The 22271-nt window shown below is 42.1% G+C and overlaps 1 long non-coding RNA gene across 4 annotated transcripts; it reads left to right on the top strand.

Annotated features, from left to right (window-relative positions):
• The first annotated feature begins 1630 nt into the window (after positions 1-1630).
• On the top strand, positions 1631-20377 carry LINC01518 (long intergenic non-protein coding RNA 1518). 4 transcript variants are annotated; one of them, NR_120656.1, is made up of 5 exons: positions 1631-1851; positions 2548-2657; positions 7374-7439; positions 9930-10032; positions 19033-20377. It is a non-coding gene; the product is annotated as a long intergenic non-protein coding RNA 1518 (long non-coding RNA). The 4 variants fall into 4 exon arrangements; NR_120659.1 differs by lacking the exon at positions 2548-2657 and adding an exon at positions 2698-2814 and having other exon boundaries at positions 1631-1855; NR_120658.1 differs by lacking the exon at positions 2548-2657.
• The last annotated feature ends 1894 nt before the right edge of the window (positions 20378-22271 follow it).

The raw sequence follows: 22271 nt of genomic DNA, 5'->3' as shown, positions 1-22271 counted from the left end.
ATAGAGGAAGACAATAATATTGTAAATAGTATGTAATCATCCATACTGTCAAAGTGTTGCTGAGTTCTGTGTTATCCGAAAATTTAAAGAAAAGCAGGCTGGGCTTGGTGCTGTGGCTCATGCCTAGAATCCCAGCACTTTGGAAGGCCAAGACGGGTGGATCATGAGGTCAGGAGATCGAGACCATCCTGGCTAACACGGTGAAACCCCATCTCTACTAAAAATACAAAACATTAGCTGAGCGAGGTGATGGGCGCCTGTAGTCCCAGCTACTAGGGAGGCTGAGGCAGGAGAATGGCATGAACCTGGGAGGCAGAGCTTGCAGTGAGCCTAGATCATGCCACTGCACTCCAGCCTTGATGACAGAGCGAGACTCTGTCTCAAAAAAAAAAAAAAAAAAGTGTGCTCTTAAGATAGATAACTTGATTTTCTCTAACCTCTATAGTCTGGAATATTGTCTATTTGGCTCTTCTGTAAATGCTATATAGACCAGTAATATTCTTAACTTTAATTTTGAATTTCTTCACTCATGAGTTCTAATTCCATATACCCAACCTAGCTAGTCCTCTCACCTGATACCCCAGATGATAAATCTTTTTTTTTTTTTTTGAGACGGAGTCTCCCTCTGTTGCCCGGGCTGGAGTGCAGTGGCTCGATCTCTGCTCACTGCAACCTCCACCTACTGGGTTCAAGTGATTCTCCTGCCTCAGCCTCCTGAGTAGCTGGGATTACAGGCGTGCGCCAGCACTCCTGGCTAATTTTTTTTTGTATTTTTAGTAGAGACGGGGTTTCAGCACGTTGGTCAGGCTGGTCTCAAACTCCTGACCTCGTGATCTGCCCGCCTTGGCTTCCCAAAGTGCTGGGATTAACAGGCCTGAGCCACTGCAACTGGCCCCCTAGATGATAAATCTTATTGCTTGGTGGATAAAGAAAATGTAGCACATATGCACCATGGACTACTATTCAGCCATAATAAAGAATGAGTTCATGTCCTTTGCAGGGACATGGATGAAGCTGGAAATCATCCAGATCCTACCGCTCCTGCCATGCTGCATCACTGCCACTCACTGCAGCAAGCCCAGCTGTGGAGCTGCAGGCTACAGCCTCCAGCATGCAGCAGGTGGCTCTTCCTTTCCCCCTTCCTTTTTTTTTTTTTTTTTTTTTTAGATGGATTCTTGCTTTGTCACCTAGGCTAGAGTGCAGTGGCACGATCTTGGCTTACTGCAACCTCTGCCTCCTGGGTTTAAGCGATTGTCCTGCCTCAGCCTCTCAAGTAGCTGGAACTACAGGAGCACCACGCCTGGCTAATTTTTGCATGTTTAGCAGAGACGGGGGTTTCACCATCTTGCCCAGGCTAGTCTCAAACTCGACCTCGTGATCCACCCGCCTCAGAATTACAGGTGAGTCACCATGCCCAGCCCCTTCCCCCCTTCTAAGCCTGGCACACACCAGCTTAGCAGACAGAAGCAGAAGAGTCTGGAATGGCCTGACTCCCCCTTAGCATGCTTTATATACCGAGGTTCCTGGGTTACATGTTCTGATTGGATGAGAGTAAGCCTTAGGCTAACCAATCAGAACATGATAATAAAGTCCAATCAGAATAAGCCTAGAGGTTTTCTCTCATCCAATTAGAACATTGGCTGCGACGACAGCGACTGAAGCGCAGCTGGAGTGGTAAGATGGCGGACGAGCAGCTGCAGCAGCTCCGTGCGGTGCTACAGGGGGAGGGGAAGGTGGTTTCTCCTGACACAAGCTGGAGGCCGGAGCCTGTGGCACCCTGGCTTGCCTCACTGAAGCTGGTGGCTGTGACAGGGACTGCACGGCTGCTGGAGTGGTAGAAAGGCAGCCCAGGTAGGTGAGTATTCTCAACTGCACTGCCCACGGTGGGGAGCGGCTTGGGGGCGCTATTCCGGGCATCACTGCCTGCAGCCAGGAGCGGGTTGGGGTGCTATCCAGGGCTGCACTGCCCGGGGATGGAGTGGGGCTTGGGGCACTGTTACGGGCGTTATTTCTCCCAGTGTGGGGGCGGGTTGGGGTCTCTATTGGGTGCTGCAGTGTTCGAGGTGGGGACGGGTTGGGGGCGCTATCAGGGGTTACACTCCCTGGGAGTGGGGGGTGGTGTTTGGGACACTATCGGGGGCTACACTGTCAGCGGCGGGTTAGGGGCGCAATCGGGGCTGCACTGCTGGTAGTGGCAGAGGTGGCCGCCACAGCGGTGGCCTCCAAGGAAGGAGCCAGGCTCCAGACTCTAGAAGGAGACCTCCTACTGCTCAGCGGGCACACAGTGTTTCCATGGGAATCATGGGCATGGCAGGGCCTGTCATGGTTCCTGGGTCTGCGTCCTCTTACTCTGTGTTGAGACAACCTGGGATTCCTGAGCACAGTCATGGGGTAGACATGGGGCACAGGCGTCATGGGGGGACAGGGCCCTGTGGGTGGAGACGTTAGGAATGGAAACCGGCACTCGGGGTGGGGGCGCAGGAGGGGCCGGGGGTTGGGCGGGGTAGTAGTGGCTGGGTCTGAGTTCTGCTGTTCCTGCTCTCCAAGGAGCCGCAGCCCCAGTGGGCCCAACGGTTCCTGTGGGTGGGGAGCCAGCCACCTTGGAGTCTCCAGTTCACTGAAACCTGTCACTGCCACCCAGTGGCCACCATGACAAGGTGAGGCTCTAACGTTACCACTCCCTGCATCATGTTCTAGGCTTTTCTGACTTTACTGGCCCAGCTGCTCTGTGCCAGAAGGAGGAGCAACCTGCCACACGCTGGAGGGTGGAGGCTGGAGCCTGGAGCCTGGGACGTGGCGGCTGGCGTCACTGCGGTGGGTGGCACTTTGGAGCAGTAGGTAGGAGGGCAGCCAGCTGTGGCCACCTGTGGCAGGGCTGTGGCTGTGGCCAGCTAGTAGGGGCCTTGTAGGGAGTGCCGGTGCATCGAGGGTGACAGCAGCAGTGGTTGTATTGGCATTGGCCTTAGTGGTGGCAGCAGCAGCAAGTCTGGGGGTCCTGGGAAGTGGGAGTAGGAGCACTGCGGAGCCACCTGGCCTGGCGTGGGTAGGAAGCTGTGGGTGCTGTACCGTCGGCCTCGGTGGCAGCAGTGGAGGTGCCGCCAGGGCAAGGAGGAGTCCTCCCCCTTCTCCTGCAGAATCTGGAGGGTCCCATCCTTCTGCTGGCACCTGAGCCAGGTGTGAGTGGAGCATTATCGCAATCTTAACAAAATTTAGGGGTGACTGTGTATCTTTTTGCTCTTTATTGTTGTTGTTGTTGTTGTTGTTGTGAAAAAGTCTTGAACTTTTTCAAATTTCATGAATCAAGGAGGGGAAAAAAGGTATCATAATAGGCCTTCCGATTCCCTCACGTGTTGTTTTTCCTTTCTTCCAGTCTTTTATTCTCATCATCATCTTCTTGTTCTTCTTTATTTGCTTATGCTGCTGCCTCTATTTCTTGTTTCTCCTTCACCACCTCCTGCTTTTGTTTGCTTTTTCCCAAGCAATGGCATTAACAACAAACCAAGACTGAGTTAAAAATAAAGTACTTGTCAGTGTGTTGTACTTTAAAAATAATTGGTCCATTACTATGTCTTAGAGATTTGCATAATTATTTAGTACTTGAATAGATATGCTTTCCTGTTCCTGTTAACGCATTGTAAGCAGTTATTCAAGGAATAAAAAAAAGAAGCATCAAATAAAATATTGGTAGCAAACAGCTGTTTCATCTGTCTTACATATTAGTCTGGAGATATGCAAGAGGCATGGGGGTAATAAGTTCCAATTTAGGAGGTCATTAGGTAAACTATATTCCCTTCATGTTATTTCCCTCCCACTATTTTCAAGATTATTATCTGCGTGACCAAACCTGGTTTGTCACCACATCTTTACAACAGGAAAAGGAAGCGGGGATCATGCAAATAATGTTTTAAGGCCAAGATTCACAACCAAAAACAAGGCTTTATTAACTTTTGTCTTTAAGAACCTGCAGTATTGAGCCCTCTTTCCTAGTATTACAACCTTTGGTATGAACTCTTTTTTTAGTGATTGCACTAGAAGTTTATGCATTTTATTGAATAAAGAAACAAATGTATATTTTATCATTTTTCAAGCCCACAGAAATGGATTAAGGCCTATAATTTTGACACTTTTAAAATTATTTTTAAGTTTATGACATGTAAAATACTGTTGATACATGTGGGAATATGGATAAGTACCACCAGATAGCTTATTTTGAAGAGACAGTGTCTAAATTTTTGTCGACAGCGTCTAAATTTTTGTCGACAGTAGATTGGTTGCAGTTTCTTAGGTGTGTTTCTCAGTACATTGCCTCAGCGTTTTAAAGCGTATAGAAATTTGGATTCTGTTTACCCTCATATGGTCCTTTGTTTATAGGTTGTTTAATGTTTCTAGGGACTGAAGACATCACAGCCCCCTTTAAGATGCAGTAATATTAATAAGATTTGTTATGTATAGGGTTAGAATCCAACAAACTCGAGAGGAAAATTGTTAAATTATATAGCTGTAGAGCAGGAAATGAAACCTAGGTTCTAAGCTCTAAGGGGGCCATGAGCTACCATACAGGTGCATCAGTGACCGGGCATAGCATAGAGTGGGTAGAATACAGGATGGTTAAGAGAGTGAACTGTGGAGCCTAACTCTACGTGAACATGACTTTTTTTTTTTTTTTAACAGATTCTCTCTCTGTCTCCCAGGCTGGGGTGCAGTGGTGCAATCTTGGGTTACTGCAACCTCTGCCTTTCAGGTTCAAGGGATTCTTTTGCTTCAGCCTCCCGAGTAGCTGAGACTAGATAGGTGCATGTCGCTACATTTAGCTAATTTTTGTATTTTTTGGTAGAGATGGGGTATCACCCCGTTGGCCAGGTCTGTCTCGAACTCCAGACCTCAACTGATCTGCCTGTCTTGGCCTCCCAAAGTGCTGAGGCATAAGTCACTGCCTCTGGCCTGGGGGGTTACTGTTGAAGTATTATCTTTGTATCTCAAAGCAGGCCCTTCTGAAACTGATGACATGCAAAACTTGTCCTGAAGTCTTTGCAAGGTGTAATCTTTTTACCTCCACTTTCCTACATACTGTTTGTATTTAATGGTTTCTTGTATTCCACAGACTGTGTTTTAGTATTTATAACTATAGTATTAAGAATTACTTTTCTATATTGAAAAGGAAAAATTGTATTGGCCTTTTCTTAACGTATAAATGAACTTCACAAGCAACAATTTTTCAAATCAGTTTTCCCTTTTGTGAATCTCGATGTGGGTATATGACACACTTTCCCATTTAAGGTAAAGGTACACATTTATACCTTATCTCAGAATAGTCATAAGTCAGGTTCTTATTGTGTGGTTAGTAATGCAAATATTAATAAGGTCATGTACTTAGTATTTAGAAGAATTCTGAAATAGCACTTGTTAATCTGTAACTTTTATGCATTTATTACTTTTTTGTAATTTTTTGTAGTGTTCCCAAACTTGACACTCATAGGCTATTTAGTAGTAGGTTTTACTCCTATCTCTTCTGGCCTCGAGTACATAAGATGTATTTTCCTTTGGTTTAGCATATAATATAAATTTAATTGTTCAGATTTTGAACAAAAAGGACCTATAGAATTATTGCTTACATTGACACCAGCCCAATTGTCCCATGGATGGGGTTTTGTTTGGATCAACATAAGAGTTGACCCTGCTGTTAAACCTTGAAACTTGTATCTGTTTTATCTGAGTTGTCTCCTCAAAAAAAGACCTTCAGGAAGTATCAAATAACTGAAACATACCAGATCACCGCACTAGATGCCTCCTGCCAGCCCCTAATTTCTGTTCTCTTATACATTATTGTATTTCTTTCCTGACCCTAGTTTAAGTGAGTCAAGGAGATAAATTTGAGACTGAGACCCCATCTCCTGGGCTGCAGCACCAGGTTAAAGCTTTCTTCCTTGGTAATACTTGTCGCCTCAGTGACTAGTTTCTGTCTGGTGAGCAGCAGGACCTGGACCAAACCCTTGGTGTTTGGGTAATAACATGAACAACCATCTTAACTGTTACTCTTTACTGAAATTTTACGTTTTAATTACTGGCCTCTTCTTTATTATCTATCATTCCTTTGACCTCACATCTCTTTTTTCTTTGACTTTGCAGTCAAAGAACTTAATGCTCCCTGAATCCAAATATTAAGGTTAAGAAAAGAAAGGAAATGTTTGCAGAGAAAGTATGTTTTACAAGTGAATTAAAGATGGATTCATAGAGGTTTATAGATTTACCTAGAGTTTTGAGTTCAGGTGAGTTTTCACAATATGCAGTAAGTTGAAAAGAATCCCAAGATAATTATTACATAATAAAGCTAGATACTGGAAACCAAAAAGATTTCACCTCAGTATGGCACTTTTAATTCAAGAATAGTAGCCAACAAATGAATTTTTCAGACGGTAATCATTACTCTTTAAAAATTAAGAGAAAGTTTATTTATAACTTTTATTTAACTTTTAGTACAGCTTCTGAATTTATCAATAGACAGGACAAAATAGATGAGCATCTGCTTCCCTTCCCCCTAAGCGATGTATTCTTACCAAAATGCAATACTTTTTTATTTATACTTGAAGGCAGTGTTTTTCAGTCTTTTCCATGTTAGTAGCTCAGATCTTCAAGGACAGAAGATGTATATTGGGGGCAGCTTGTGGTCTTAATCCTTACTGGAGCTCCGATATCTTAGATTCTTTCTTTCCTATTTGTGAATAAACTTCTGCTCCAGTAGGATAAGCCTGTTTACCATGTGACTGCCTAACAGATCTGTTGCTTTATGTCCCAGTTTTTAGAAGCAAGCAGATTATATTACCTGGATTAAAATGTTTTTTGATACTAAAGGTAGTATCTTTAATTTTTACTTACGAGTTACTTTAAGTACAACTTTGATTAAATTATGGGAATCGAGTTTCTGTAGCTTTTACCATAGTGAAAATGGAAAGCAGGGAGCATTCCACAGCAAACCCTAAACTTATTTATAGAGAGTTAATTAAGTGTCTGAGCAAAGCAAGCATTCACAATGGTGTGTCTGTGTGTGTGTCAGTGACAGATGAACATGGTACTTGAAACATAATTGTGCTTCTTCAGGTTCCAATATCCAGTAATTTTGCCATACAGTTACAGTAACTAATATTAAATCCACAAACCTACTTTGGTCTACTCTGTATTTGTATTTTAAAATAATAATTTTTAGCTGCCTAATAGAAGTGTTATTTTTTTTCTGAATTAGAAAGTATTGTTTCCATTGAGTTAAAAGAATCTTTTTTTATGTTTATTATATCTTAAAAGTGATTGCATTGTTATCTAGATTCTCTTTTTTCAGTGTGAGTTTTTATTGGTTTATTACATGTTTATTTTCTTTTTAGGAAGCCATCATTCTGTAGAAGGCAGTGACGGAACAGTACCAGCAGAAATTGAAGGACCAGCAGAAGGTTAGGAGAAAAAGAGATTTTGTGTGTTACTGTATTTGTTGTATATATATTTTCTTTTCCTTGAGATGGAGTCTTGCTCTGTCGCCAGGCTGTAGTGCAGTGGTGTGATTTCAGCTCACTGCAACCTCTGACTCCCTGGTTCAAGCAATTCTTCTGCCTCAGCCTCCCGAGTAGCTGGGATTACAGGCAAGAGCCACCACACCTAGCTAATTTTTGTATTTTTAGTAGAGACAGGGTTTTGCCATGTTGGTCAGGATGGTCTTGATCTCCTGACCTTGTGATTTCACTCACCTTGGCCTCCGAAAGTGCTGGGATTACAGGGGTGAGCCACCATGCCTGGTCTGTTGTATGTTTATTCTATTTTATAGATTATATTATTCTTAAAACACCTCACTTGGAAATAAAAGATGATTCTTTTGGTATGCTTTCCTAGGCGACAAGTTGTTTTAAGTTATAAGAGGTAATATACCTCTTTACAATATTGATCAATAAAGCCCATGAGGATGAAGACTAAGTGGTAACTGAAGGTCTTCATGATGCAAAGTACTGTTTTTCTGATCGTGGTTGTTATTATAAGTTGTAACTTCCTAAGTATGTATGCTTCATTACTTGATGTCTAAATCTGGCCTAGTAGTCAATGCACATGGTAACAGATGGTAAAGCTAGGTGACAACCTTTAATAATAGGAAAATAGAACATTCTCTTTAATGAAGATTTACTGACATTTTTAGGTACAACAGTTTCCTGCTGACAGCTCTTCAAGTGCTTGTCCATCTTCTCTGGAATACTGGGGCTTTAGTTAAGGGATACTCGAGTGTTGTCAGTAAATTGGTTTATGTACATAGATATGTTTTTACAGTTCCTCTTCCTGCATCTAGTGTTTAATTTTTCAGTTATGCTTCCAATTAAGTTTATTTAATTATTTAAGCTCTCTCTAAAAGTAGAATTAATTCAACTAAATTAAAGGGGCTAATTTTTAATAGGCATTTAATTCATATGCTATTTACAGAAAAACTCTCTGGGTTTTAAAAAGTTGCTTTAGATTTTGCCATCTTAGTATGTCCTTATGTGGTGTCTTGTTTTATTTTTTATTTTTTTATTTTGGTAAAAATATACATAATATAAAATAACACTTTTAACCATTTTTAAGTGCACAGAGGTCCCTGGTGTTAAGCACATCCGCATTGTTAGCTATCACCACTCTCCATCTCCAGAGCTTTGTCATCATTGTAAACTGCAGCTCTGTACTCCATAAACAATAGCTCCCCATTGAACCGTCCTCCTGGCCCCTGGCAATTACTATTCTATTTTCTATGAATTTGTTTATTCTAGATACCTTATATAAGTGGACTTGTACAATATTTGTCCTTTTCTGTCTGGTTTATTTCACTTAGCATAATGCTATCAAGGCTCATTGATAACACTGTCAGAATTTCCTTTTTTTAAAAAATTTTTATTTGTAGAAGCGAGGTCTTGCCATGTTGCCCAGCCTGGTCTCAAAATTCTGTGCTTAAGCGACCTGCCCGCCTTGACCTCCCAAAGTGCTGGAATTACAGGTGTAAGCTGCTGAACCTGGCGAGATTTTTTTTTATCGCTGTATAGTATTCTGTGTATGTGTGTATTACATTTTCTTTACCCATTCACCTACCGATGGGCATAGGGCTGGTTCTACCTTTTGGCCACTGTGAATAATGCTACTGTTAAACGGGTGTACAAATACCTGTTTGAGTCCCTGATCTTAGTTCTTTTGGATATAGCGCTTAAAGGGTGTTGTTGGATCATATAATTCTGTGCTTAATATTTTAAGGAACTGCCAAACCATTTTCCACAGTGGGCTGTACCATTTTACATTCCAAAAAGCCATCCATAAAGGTTACAATTTATCGATATCATTGTTGACAGTTAATATTTTCTGTTTATGTATTGTATTTTTATGGTGTTTGAAATTCATCTGAGGGTTTTCTTGATACCAAAATATTAGAAAACGTTTTCAAAAAAATGCCTTATTATAGAGACTTTTACATGTTACTTGATGCCCTGTGATCTATTTTCTCACTAAGAAGAGGAACTTCTCTTCACCCAGCCTCATTCCACTGCACCCACTCTTTTTTGTGTTGGGTTGTGCAGGGGAGAAAGGGAGGTTGGCACCTCTTTCCTGTGTTGTGGTAGCCCGTCGCTGGGTTGTAAAGCGCCTTGCCTCCTATTTTACTTGGGAGAAATGCATTGATGCTGGGTGCCATATGGATTTATTTTGGGAGTGATACTGTTCTAATTTTATGGAAATAATGCCAGATAGAAAGTTAGCGGATGGATTCTGTATCTGATGAGAGTTTTGGACAAATCGAATATCTAGTTTCTGAGCCTTAATTTTCCTCTGATGCAAGACAAGTGTAAATTAGCCAGCTGGTAAAAAAAACTCTCACAGCTCTGGATATGGGTTTAAGACACTGGATTTCTACCACTCACTTTCTTACTACTTTTCTTGCGCAGGGATCATGGCCAAAGTTGCAGTGTCCCCCCGCTCGTTGAAGATGAGGAGTTCTCAGAGAGCGGGATGTTTGTGACATTCCTCATGTCAGCTCTCGAGTCCATGGTGAGACCTTTTGTTCTAACAGTCTATATTTGAGTAGGACTGGGCTGTAGTTAAGGTTGATTTGTTTTTTGTAGAACATATAATTTTATGGTTTTTTCTTTATAATGAGTAGTTCTTTTTCCTGAATAGTAGCTGTGGTCAAATACATCCAACCAAATGCAGAGATTCTACACCAGTTTTCGGACAATCTGGATACCAACTGGGTATCTCACAGTTCCATTCTCACACTAACTGGAGTTAGTGCAGACCCCTCAGGATAGGGGCTCAGTCCCACAAGACTATCCTCACTTCACATGCCAGTTGCAAACCCTAGGTTGTTACATGTACTTTTGACCAACCAGTTAGAAACTGGGGTCTCATGACCTCCTTCTTTGGTTGAATCATTTGCTAAAACAGTTTGCAGAACTCAGAAAAACAGGTTATTTTCTTTTTTTTTTTTCTGAGATACATAGTCTCACTCTGTTGCCAGGCTGGAATTCAGCAATGTGATCAAAGCTACTGTAGCCTCGAACTCCTGGGCTCAAGTGATCCTCCTGCCTCAGCCTCCCAATGAGACTACAGGCCTACACCACCATATCTGGCTATATTCTTTTATTTTTTGTAGAGATGGGGTCTTGTTATGTTGCCCAGGCTGGTCTCAAATTTCTGGGCTCACATTATCCTCCCATCTCAACCTCCAAAGTGCTGGGATTATGGGCGTGAGCCACTGGGTCTCACCAATTTACTTTCTATTACTGGTTCATTGTAAAGGATATATCTCAGAAACAGCCAGTGAAAGAGGTGTACATGCTGGGCTCATGCCTGTAATCTCAGCACTTTGGGAGACTGTGGCGGGAGCATCGCTTAAGCTCAAGAGTTTAAGACCAGGCTGGGCAACATGGTGAAACCTCATCTTTACAAAAAAAATTTTATAAAAATTAGCCTGGTGCAGTGACATGTGCCTACAATTCTAGTTACTCAGGAGGTTGAGGTGAAAGGATGGCTTGAGCTAGGGAGGCATAGGTTGCAGTGATCCACGATTGTGCCACTGTAGCCTGGGAGACAGAGCCAGACCCTGTCTCAAAAAAAAAAAAAAAAGAAAGAAAAAAGATGCACAGGGCAAGGTATGTGGAGAGGGGCACAGAGCTTCCATGCCGTCTATTGGGCATGTTACCCTCCCAGTATCCCCCTTGTGTTCAGGAACCCAGACACTCTCCAAACCCTGTTGTTTAGGGTGTTTCTGAAGGCTTCATTACACAGGCATGATTGATAAAATCATTGACCATTGGTGATTAAGTCAATCTTCAGCCACTATTTCTTCCTGGAGCTCAGTGGGTGAGGCTGCAAGTTTCAAGCCTCTAATCACATGGTTTGTTCTGGCAACCAGCCCTCCTCCTGAAGCTGTCTGGGAGCTTTCAGTCACCCAGTCATCTCAGTAGCATCATCAAATGCATTCTTACTATGGTGGAGATCCCAAAGGTCTTAGAGGGTCTTGTGTTAGAAACCTGGGACTAAGACCAAATATTGAAACAAAAGATGCTCCTATCAACTTTATCACTGAGAACTTTATGAGAACTTTAGAAGCTTTGTGCCAGGACCAGGGGCAGAAACCAGATGTGTATTTCTTTTCTTTTTCTTTTGGACACAGAGTCTCTTTCTTTCACCCATACTGGAGTGCAGTGATGCAGCCTCAACCACCTGGGCTCAAACAATTCTCCTGCGTCAGCCTTCTAAGTATGTGGGACTACAGGTGCACACCATCCATGCTCAGCTAATTTTTGTATTTTTTTTTAGAGATGGGATCTTGTTACGTTGCCGAGGCTGGTCTTGAACTCCTGGGCTAAAGCAACCCTTTCACCTCAGCCTCTCAAGTAGCTGAAACTACAGATGCATACCACCATGCCCAGCCAATTTTTTCTTTTCTTATTTCTTTTGGTTTTTGTTGTTTAGTTGGGGATCTCACTATGTTTTCCAGGTTGGTGTCGAGCTCCTGGCCTCAGGTGTTTCCCCGCTTTGACCTCCTAAACTGTTGGGATTACAGGTGTGAGCCACGACCACTGTGTCCAGCAGTCACAAGGGTTTTTATAAGAGAAAGAGGGAGGCAAGAGACTCAGAATTGGAGGAGATGTGATGATGGAAGCAGAGGTCAGAGAGGGAGATTTGAATATGCTTCGCTTCTGGCTTTGAAGATGCAGTTAGGGGCCATGAGCCAAGAAATGGGGGTGGCTTTTAGAAGCTGAGAAAGGCAAGGGAACCCATCCTCTCTGGAGCCTCCAGAAGGAATGCAGTCCTGCTGACACGTTGACTTTAGCCTTAATTGACCTATTTTGGACTCTGGCTCCCAGAACTGTTAGGTAGTAGATTTGTCGTGTATTAAGGCACTCAATGTAGGGCAGTTTGTAACAGCAGCAAGAAGAAATGAACATGAACCCAGGGCTGGTGGCCCACACCTATAATTCCAGGTATTTAGGAGGCCGAGGCAGGAGGATCGCTTTGGCCCAGGAGTTCAAGACAAGCCTGGGGAGCATAGTGATGCTCCATATATTTTTTAAAAAATTAGCAGGTGTGGTGGCATGCACCTGTAGTCTTTAGCTACTAGAGAGGCTGAGGCAGGACGATTGCTTCACCAGTGAGTTCGAGGTCTCAGTCGTGATTGTGCCATGGCACCCCAGCCTGAGTGGCACAGCGAGATTTTGTGGAAAAAAAAGAGCATGGCAGGAATGGGGACAGATGGCAATATTAAATAGAGTGGCCAGGGTTGCCCTAAGTGAAAATTTATCAAAGACTTGAAGTGGGGGAAGCAACTGGCCAAGGTGCTGAGGTGAGAGCATTGTAGGCAGAAACAACAGGATAAAGATGCTAGGAGGGAACTCCATGGTGTGTCTGATCAGTAAAGATTGTGTAATCTCTGGGAGGCTCTTGCTGGGGCTTTGGCTTTTACTCTGACTGAGATCGGAACTGTGGGAGGGTTCTGAGCAGAGAGGCAACATGATCTGTCTCCTGATTTAAAAGCATCCCTTGGCTGCTGAGTTGAGAAAGATTGTGGGAAGATTTGGGTAGAAGCAGGGAGGCCAAGCTGTGGCAACATCCAGATGGGAGATAAGTGTTTTTGACCAGGGTCATGGCAATGGTGAGAGATGGCTGATTCTTTTTTTTTCTTTTTTCTTTTCTTTTTTGAGACGGAGTCTCGCTCTGTTGCCCAGGCTGGAGTGCAGTGGGGAGATCTCAGCTCACTGCAACCTACACCTCCCAGGTTCAAGAGAGTCTTCCGCCTCGGCCTCCTGAGTAGCTGGGACTACAGGCACCTGCTACCACGCCTGGCTAATTTTTGCATTTTTTTGTAGAGACGGGGTTTCACCATATTGACCAGGCTGTTCTCGAACTCCTGACCTTTTGATCCACCCACCTTGGCCTCCCAAAGTGCTGGGATTACAGGCGTGAGCCACCGTGCCTGGCCCTGAGAGATGGTTGATTCTTGTTGAAATACTAAGTAATTAAAAAAAAAAAAACAGTACTGCCTTTCCCAATTATATGAAGTATGGGTTGCTAGATTAAGGAAACCTTAAGTCAGGCTGGTGCAGTGGCTTATGCCTGTAGTGCCAGCACTTTGGGAGGCAGAGATGGGGGGATTGTTTTAAGTCCAGGAGTTTGAGACCACCCTTGGCAACATAGCAAGATCTCCTCTCTACACAAATAAATAATAATAAAATATAATTATCCAGACACGGTGGCATGTGTCTGTAGAATCAGTTACTCTGGTTGTCGAGGTGGGAAGATCTCTTGAGGGTGGGAGTTTTGAGGCCAGCTTGGGCACATAGCAAGGCTTCTGTCTCCACAAAAAAAAAAAAAAAAAAAAAAGTAGCTGGGAGTTGTGATGCTCACTTGTAGTCCTGGCTATGGTGACTGCATGACTGATCCCTAGAGCTGTAATTTTACTAATTAATTTTTCAGATACTACTCAGCCAGCAACTGAGCCTAACCAGGAACACACCCTCAACCATTCAGTGGTCCTTTTTTTTGTTTTTCTAGTCCTCCTGAAAGTCGATTACTCTCAGAAGGTGACGAAAACTTGCATTACTTTTGTTTTTCTTCCTAGAGACAAGCTCTTGCTCTGTCACCAGGCTGCAGTGCAGTGGCTTGATTATGTCTCAATGCAGCCTGAAACCCCTGGGCTGAAACAATCCTCCAACCTCAGCCTCCCAAGTAGCTGGGACTACAGACGTTTGCCCCCGTGCCTAGCTAACTTCTTTATTTTTTATTGTTGAGATGGGATCTTGCTATGTTGCCCAGGATGGTGTCAAACTCCTGGCCTCAAGTGATCTCTCTGTCTCAGCTTCCCAAAGTGCTGGAATTATGCACAGGCCTGAGCCACCTGTGCTCAACCCCCATTTTCTTTTTTTTTTTTTTTTGAGATGGAGTCTAGCTCAGTTGTCCAGGCTGGAGTACAGTGGTGCCATCTCGGCTCACTGCAACCTCCACCTCCCTGTTTCAAGCAATTCCCCTGCCTCAGCCTCCCGAGTAGCTGGGATTACAGGCGCATGCCACCATACCTGGCTAATTTTTGCTCTATTTTTAGTAGAGATGTGGTTTCACCATGTTGGCCAGACTGGTCTTGAACTCCTGACCTCAGGCAGTTGGCCCACCTTGGCCGCCCAAAGTGCCGGGATTACAGGTGTGAGCCACTGCATCTGGCCCTTTTTATAATAATAATTTAATTGAAATATGATTAACATCTCACACAATTCATTTATCAAAGTGTGCAATTCAGGCTGGGTGTATTGGCTAATTCCTATAACGCTAAGACTTTGGGAGGCTGAGGTAGGTGGATTGCTTGAGTTCAGGAGTTCGAGACTAGCCTGGGCAACATGGCAAAACAGCATCTCTAGAAAAAATACAAAAATTAGCTGGATATGGTGGCTCATGCCTGTAGTCTTAGCTACTTGAGGACATGATGCTGGAAGATCACTTAAGCCCAGAAGGCATATAGGTTGCAGTGAGACCAGATGGCGGTACTGCACTAGTGTGGGTGACAGAAGGAGACCATGTCGAGAAAGAGAGAGAGTGAGAGAGGAAAGAAGTAAAGAGAGACGGAGAGAGAGAGAAAGGAAAGAAAGAGAGAAATTCAGTAGTTTTTAGAATATTCATGAAGCTGTGCATCCATCACCACAGTCACTTTTAGAAGCGATTACCCATTTATGAGTTACCCACTTAAGAGTGAGAAACCCTCACCTCTTAGCTGCTACCTCCTACTTCCCCCACGTTCCTGTGTCTTCATAGGCAACCACTGATTTATTTTCTTTTATTGTAGTTTTGCCTAATCTGGACCTTTAATAGAAATAGAATTGTACAGTATGTGATCTTTTGTAGTTTGCTTTTTTTTCTCTTAGCACAATGTTTTCAAATTTCTTTCATGTTATAGTGTGCATCAGTATTTCTTACCTTTTGTTGCTGAATAATAGTTTATGTTTAGCCATTCATCAGTTGATGGACATTTGTGCTGTTTCTGCATATAAACCGTCATGAGTAATGGTGCTATGAACACTCACATGCAAGTTTTTGTGTGAACATATATTTCTGCTTCTCTTGGATTTACACCCAGAAATGAAATTGTTGCATTATGTGATAACTATACATTTAGCCTTGGAGAAACTGCCACGTTGTTTTTCAAAGTGGTTACACCAGTCAGGCATGGTGGCTCATGCCTTTAATCTCAGCTATTTGGGAGGCTGAGTTTGGAGGACTGCTTTAGCCCAGGACTTCAGGACCAGCCTGGGCAACATAGGGAGACAATATCTTGATTTTTAAAAAAATCAATTGACCAGAAAAGAAACACCCAAACTGATGACACCATTTTATGTTCCCACCAGTAATGTGTGTGGGTTCCAGTTCTTCCACATTGTCACCAACTGTTTTTTTTTTTTTTTTTTTTGAGACAAAATCTTGCTCTGTTGCCCGGGGTGGAGTACAGTGGCATGAACATGGCCAGTGTAGCCATGACTTCCCAGGCACAAGTGATCCTCTCACCTCAGCCTCCCAAGTAGCTGGGACTTACAGGTACTTGTCATCATGTGTGGCTGATTTTTACATTTTTTGGTAGAGATAGGGTTTTGCCATGTAGCCTAGGTCAAACTTCTGAGCTCAAGTGATTGCCCGCTTCTGCCTCCAGAAGTGCTGGGATTACAGGTGTGTGCCACCACACCCGACTGGTATAACCACTTTGGAAAACAGCCACTGAGTCCAGCCTTCACCAATATACCAATATTTGTTAATATCTTTTTTGTACTTACTATTTCTTCATTTTAAAAAATTATTTTGTAGCTGTCTTATTAGTTATAATAAACAGCAAATAATTTTGTAGTAGCGCTGAGACCCCCCAAAAATTACTTGTCATTTAATTGAAATACAGTTTTTTTTAACCTGGATATATGTTTTTTCATTCTCATTTTTAGTTATTTTTAAAAACTATTGATAAATTTTTGTATTTTAATAGGTGTTTGGGAAACAGGTAGTGTTTGCTTCCATGAGTAAGTTATTTAGTGTTGATTTCTGAAAATTTGTAGCACCCCTTATTACTCATTGTATATTAAGTCATGAAATCATTAATAAACCAAAGACTTCAGTGAAATGGAAATTTTATTTTAACTTGTAACCTGAGAAATAACTGTCAAAAAAATTAGAGAAATTACCACATTAAAGCTTTAAAATCTTGAACCTAAAAATGAAAACCCTGTTGCACCTAAGAACCACAAGCCCACTGGTCAAGGTGAACAAAACTAAATATAAAGCAGAATGCAACCAAGAAAACCAAACTCAGGATTATTCAGTGTTCTGTAATGCTATTTTATCTTGGGACTCACAGAAAATTGTTATTATTATTATTATTACTACTTTTATATGGAATCTCACTGTCACCCACGCTGGAGTGCAGTGGCACGATCTCGGCTCACTGCAACCTCTGCCTCTGGGGTTCAAGTGATTCTCCTGCCTTAGCCTCCGGAGTAGTTGGGATAACAGGCACGCTCCACCAAGCCTGGCTAACTTTTGTATTTTTAGTAGAGATGGGGTTTCACCATGTTGGCCAGACTGGTCTCAAACTCCTGACCTCATGCAGTCGACCTGCCTCGGCCTCCCAAAGTGCTGGAATTACAGGCATGAGCCACTGGACTCAGCTGAAAATAGTTAATTTTATGTATATTCTAAGTCAAAATACATTTTGTTTTTAAATATTTGATGACTTTACAATACTATATTAACTCTTAAATGAATTAATACAAGTTTAGATATAAGGAGTATGTTTATGTTGACTAAAAATTATTTTTTACATATATGAAAGTAATGTCATACAATAGTTTTTATACTTGTAGAATACTTTGAAATATATATTAGCTAATATTTTATATTCATTTTGGATTTTTGCATTATTGTTAGATCCACAGAAAACTAATATTTTGTGAATACCCAAATCAAAAGCATTTTGATGGATGCATTCATAAATAGCATTTTATTTAAAAAGAACACTAATTAAAGCTTCACACCATTTTATGATTCATCAAACACAGTAACTGAATACTGGCATATAGCAACATTACAGAGGTTAGCCTTAGATAAAACTCAGCACATTTTAAAAAGGGTAAAAGGAAGAAAAGGAAAAAGGATACAAGGCTGTGTAAAGATTTTAAAAACAAACATCATATGTCTGGACCACAACTATTCATGCCATTGACTTTGGAGACTCATATTTTGTGAAAAGCGTTTTGTAAGTAGAGGACTCATAAGTGGTATAAGGCACCTAGTACACTACAATGGCACAGACATGACAGATATTCAATAAAATGATTTTAACTTTTACTGATACATGTTATCTTTGTTGTTCATTTATTAAACTAGTGCAAATCAGCCAGTAGATGGAGTGGCATTGACCTGTAAAACTTCTAAGATCCCATCCAAGCTTAGTATCCTGTGAAGTTCTCCATAATTTATTGTCTATTCCAATCAACATTTAGCATAAGCTACACGCTTATTTTGTTAATCATCCTTCTATGTTTATGTGTTGACTTGAAATGGGCCTATGTGGCCTTTATCTTCACAACCCTAATATGTACATAATTTAATAACTTTGTTATAAACCTGATGTTTCATAAAATTATGTCTTATCAAATATTTTCTGGTAGAATAATTACACATTTTTGCTTAAACTTTCCTGACTCTCCATTGCCTGCTGAATACAGTTAAGTTCTCACTTAGTGTGAGGATTTAATACATTCTTGAAAACTGTGACCTACAATTAAGCCAACCTTACCATAGTCTAATTGATAGAAATAGTTAAGTTTCTATGGCATATTTCTGGTCACAAGAACATCACCAAACTTAGAAAGGCCTAAAACACTTCCAGTATTAAATACTGAAATAAATGTGAGCTCTACATACATTTAAGAAAAATGTGAGCTCTACATACATTAGGCCAGGCGTGTTGGCTCACGCCTGTAATCCCAGCACTTTGGGAGGCCAAGGTGGGAGGATCACTTGAGGTCAGGAGTGTGATACCAGCCTGGCCAACATGGCGAAACCTTGTCTCTACTAAAAATGCAAAAAATCACCCGGGCATGGTGCTACGTGCCTGTAATCCCAGCTACTTGGGAGGCTGAGGCGGGAGAATCACCTGAATCTGGGAGGTGGAGGTTGCAGTGAACTGAAGTCGTGCCACTGCATTCCAGCCTGGGTGACAGAGCAAGACTCCATCTCCCCACCGCCCCCCCCCCCCAAAAAAGATAAAGAAAAATTAATAAAAATGTTACCAGGGCCACCCTGATGAAATAACTGGGAAAGATCTATTTATTACTGTGTTTCTTTAGTTTCTTTATTTGTAGGCATAGCTGCATAAAGAAACCAGTTGGCCCACCAGCACCAGGGCTTCTCCACCCCTGACCACATACCAGGAGATAAGATCCCCAACCAGCACAAACTCGAACAGGTGAGCCCTAGTTGCTTTTAGATAACTTTTTTTTTTTTTCTTTTTGACAGACTCTCACTCGGTCGTCCAGGCTGGAGTGCAGTGGCACCATCTTGGCTCATTGCAACATCTGGCTCCCAGGTTCAATCGATTCTTCTGCCTCAGCCTTCTGAGTAGCTGGAATTAACAGGTGTATGCCAACTTATCTGGCTAATTTTGTTGTGTATTTTTCTTTCAGTACAGACTGGGTTTCACCATGTTGGCCATGCTGGTCTTGAGCTCCTCACCTCAGGTGATCCACATGCCTCAGCCTCCTAAAGTGCTGGGATTATAGGCGTCAGCCACCGCTTCTGGCCTAGATCATTAACATATCACTATGATACTAAAATTCCCTCTGCCAAAGAAAATCTTGCCATTTTGTGACATGAGTTGTATAAAGATGTATGTTTATATGCACTGAACCTGTGCACCTAGAGTTCCACCCTGCTCATGCTAACGTTGTTCTCCCTCCCCGTACCTAGTTCTTAAAAACTCCATGCCTTCCATTTTTCAGGGAAAGGGTGTCTTTAGAGCAAGAACTCTTTTCTTCTCCATCCCAGGCAGGGAAAAAACCCACTTGGCCTTGTTTCTGATTGGGTTTTCTTGCTTTGCGACTAATACAAAGCAGGAAAAAACTCCCTTTATCAGTGATAAAAACAAGTAAGATTATTATTTACCCACCTATTCTAGCTAGGGGTCATGGGTGGCCGGAGTCTCTCCTAGCAACTCAGGGCGCTAGGCAGAACCAGCCCTGGATCTGGAATAGGGTGCCATCATATGGCAGAGTGTACATACACACACACACACACACACACACACACACACACACAGAGCTCAAATGGGGACTATTTAGAAATGATAGTTCACATAATGGGCACATCTTTGAGATGTGGGAGGAAACTGGGAGTACCCAGTGAAAACCCATGTGGACCTGGGGAGAATGTGTAAAGGACACACAGGAAGTGGCCAGCTGGGAGTTGATTGTTTTTTCTTATCAACATTACAATGAAATGATACTGAACGAAATGACATTATTCAAGTACCTGCTGTAATAGTCAGACTCCTTCATATAAAATTCAAAGCCCTCTACACTCGGGCACTACATTGGACTTCCATCCTACACCTACATTCTAGCCACTGTACTACACATCATTTACCAAAGGCGCTGTATACTTCTGTGCTACCAAACATTTGCCAGTCTGGTTCCCTCTGCATTTCAAGATTACACACCCCTCATAATCCTGCAAAGCCTTTCGTATCAATTTTTCTGTGAAGCTTTTCAGAATCCACCACCACTCCCACCATCACCCCAACTCCCTGAGAGGGCAGATCTCTCTCTCCGTTTGGCAGCCACTTTTAATAAAGCATTTTTCACTGATACTATGAGTCTGCCTTCTCCTTTGGGAAACTTTCTCAGACTCCCATACCCAGAGTTAGGCACTCCATATTTGCCCACCTTGGTCCCTGGTATGTAATTCTACTCCAGCATAGAACAGAGAAGCCAGAATCATCTTTCTGTAAAATTCTATCTTCTGTTAGACCCTGTGTCCCTTGAGGATATCATTCATCATTGTTTCCCCAGGGCCTTGCACACCTTACTCTGGGCCTCCAGCTTAGCCTGTTTCTATGCAGGCTGCCCATGGCTGATGCCAACCAGTCCTGTCCCTCTATATCCAAGCACCAGACTTCCTTACTGATCCTTTGCAATTTCAGACCCTCCATCACCCTCCTGTATCCTGCTGGAGATTTTGGAGCATCTCAGCATCTCTGGGGCAGCTCGCGGACATCAGGGAGGGGCAGGCAACAAAGCCCACGTAGACCCTTACAGGTATCTCAGGATCTCCGAATGGGATCCTCTTTTCCCCAGCCCATTCCTTAAAACTCTGCTGACTTCCCTACTTCTTCCTCCAGCTCAGCACTTAGCTGGAGTTGCCCCAAAGGTGATCACAGAGGAATTTTCACAAGGGACTGTCCCAGACTGTCCTGAGATGAAGGGGGTTAGGATTCCAAAGAAGTAAACTCTAAACCCTGGTATGATGAGCCCAAAGCATTTCTTAAGGGATGTACACACAGTGAGGGCTGCAGCTCATCTTATTGGGAGGAAAGGAGACCAAGGATGCTTTGTCTAGGTATCTTTGCAGTGAGGAGTCTGGTTATGCAGTTTATAGGAGCGTTTAAGGAATCTCCCAGGACCAGGGATACTTTCTTTTAGTGTTTTGAATTACAACCTAAACACAACACCTTTACTTATGTCTGCGAATGTTCAGAGCCCTGGCTTGGGTTCAAGTCTGCAGGGGAAAGCATGCAGGTATCCGGGCCACAGAATAACAGAGAAGTCAAGCGTCTGTGTATTCTTGGTCAGAACAGATGGAAAATGTGAAGAAACTGCGGAATTGTACTCTATCCTTTCTAGTAAGACTTGCTATTAGGAAGTATAAGTCATTTGATTCTGTTTTTCTTTTTAAAAATTGTTTTGTGCAATTTGATTTTCTGTACATACATATTGATTTAAGGGAGTGAGAGACTTTCTAATTTCTAAAAAAATACACTTGGAAATTTGAAGGGATTATATTGAATCTGCAAATCAATTTATAGGGTATTGTTATCCTAAGAATAATAAGTATTTAAAAAATTATTGTAGGTATACGTATGTATGGGGTATATGGGATGTTTTGATATAGGCATACAATGCATAATAATCACTCATATCCTGGAGGGTAGGGTATCCATCCCCTCAAACATGTAACCTTTGCCTTACAAACAGTCCATCCTTGAACATAAAATGACTTCCAGTTATTTTTCAGTTTATCTTTGATTTCTTTCAGTGTTACAAATTGTGTAAAATTCCTGTATCTGTCTTGAATTTTTTTCTCTTAATGTTTTTTATTGATGCCATTATAAGTGGAATTGTTTTCTTTATTTTATTTTTAATTGTTGGTTGCTTTTATATAAACCATAATCTACTTTGGCATGCCAGTTTTCTGTCTTGTAACACGGATAAATTTGTGTATTAGTTCTACTGATAGTGAATCTCTTTTTTTTTTTGCTTTATAAAAACAGCAAAAGAAGCTTATTCAAGTAGTTTTCCTCTTTTTTTAAATTATACTTTAAGTTTTAGGGTACATGTGCACAACGTGCAGGTTTGTTACATATGTATACATGTGCCATGTTGGTGTGCTGCACCCGTTAACTCGTCATTTAACATTAAGTATATCTCCTAACGCTATCCCTCCCCCTTGCCCCCACCCCACAACAGGCCCCGGTGAGTGAT

This window comes from Homo sapiens, chromosome 10 (assembly GCF_000001405.40).
Source record: "Homo sapiens chromosome 10, GRCh38.p14 Primary Assembly".
Lineage (NCBI taxonomy): Eukaryota > Metazoa > Chordata > Mammalia > Primates > Hominidae > Homo > Homo sapiens.
Note: the sequence above shows the minus strand (reverse complement) of the source record. Positions and strands in the feature narration are given on the sequence as shown.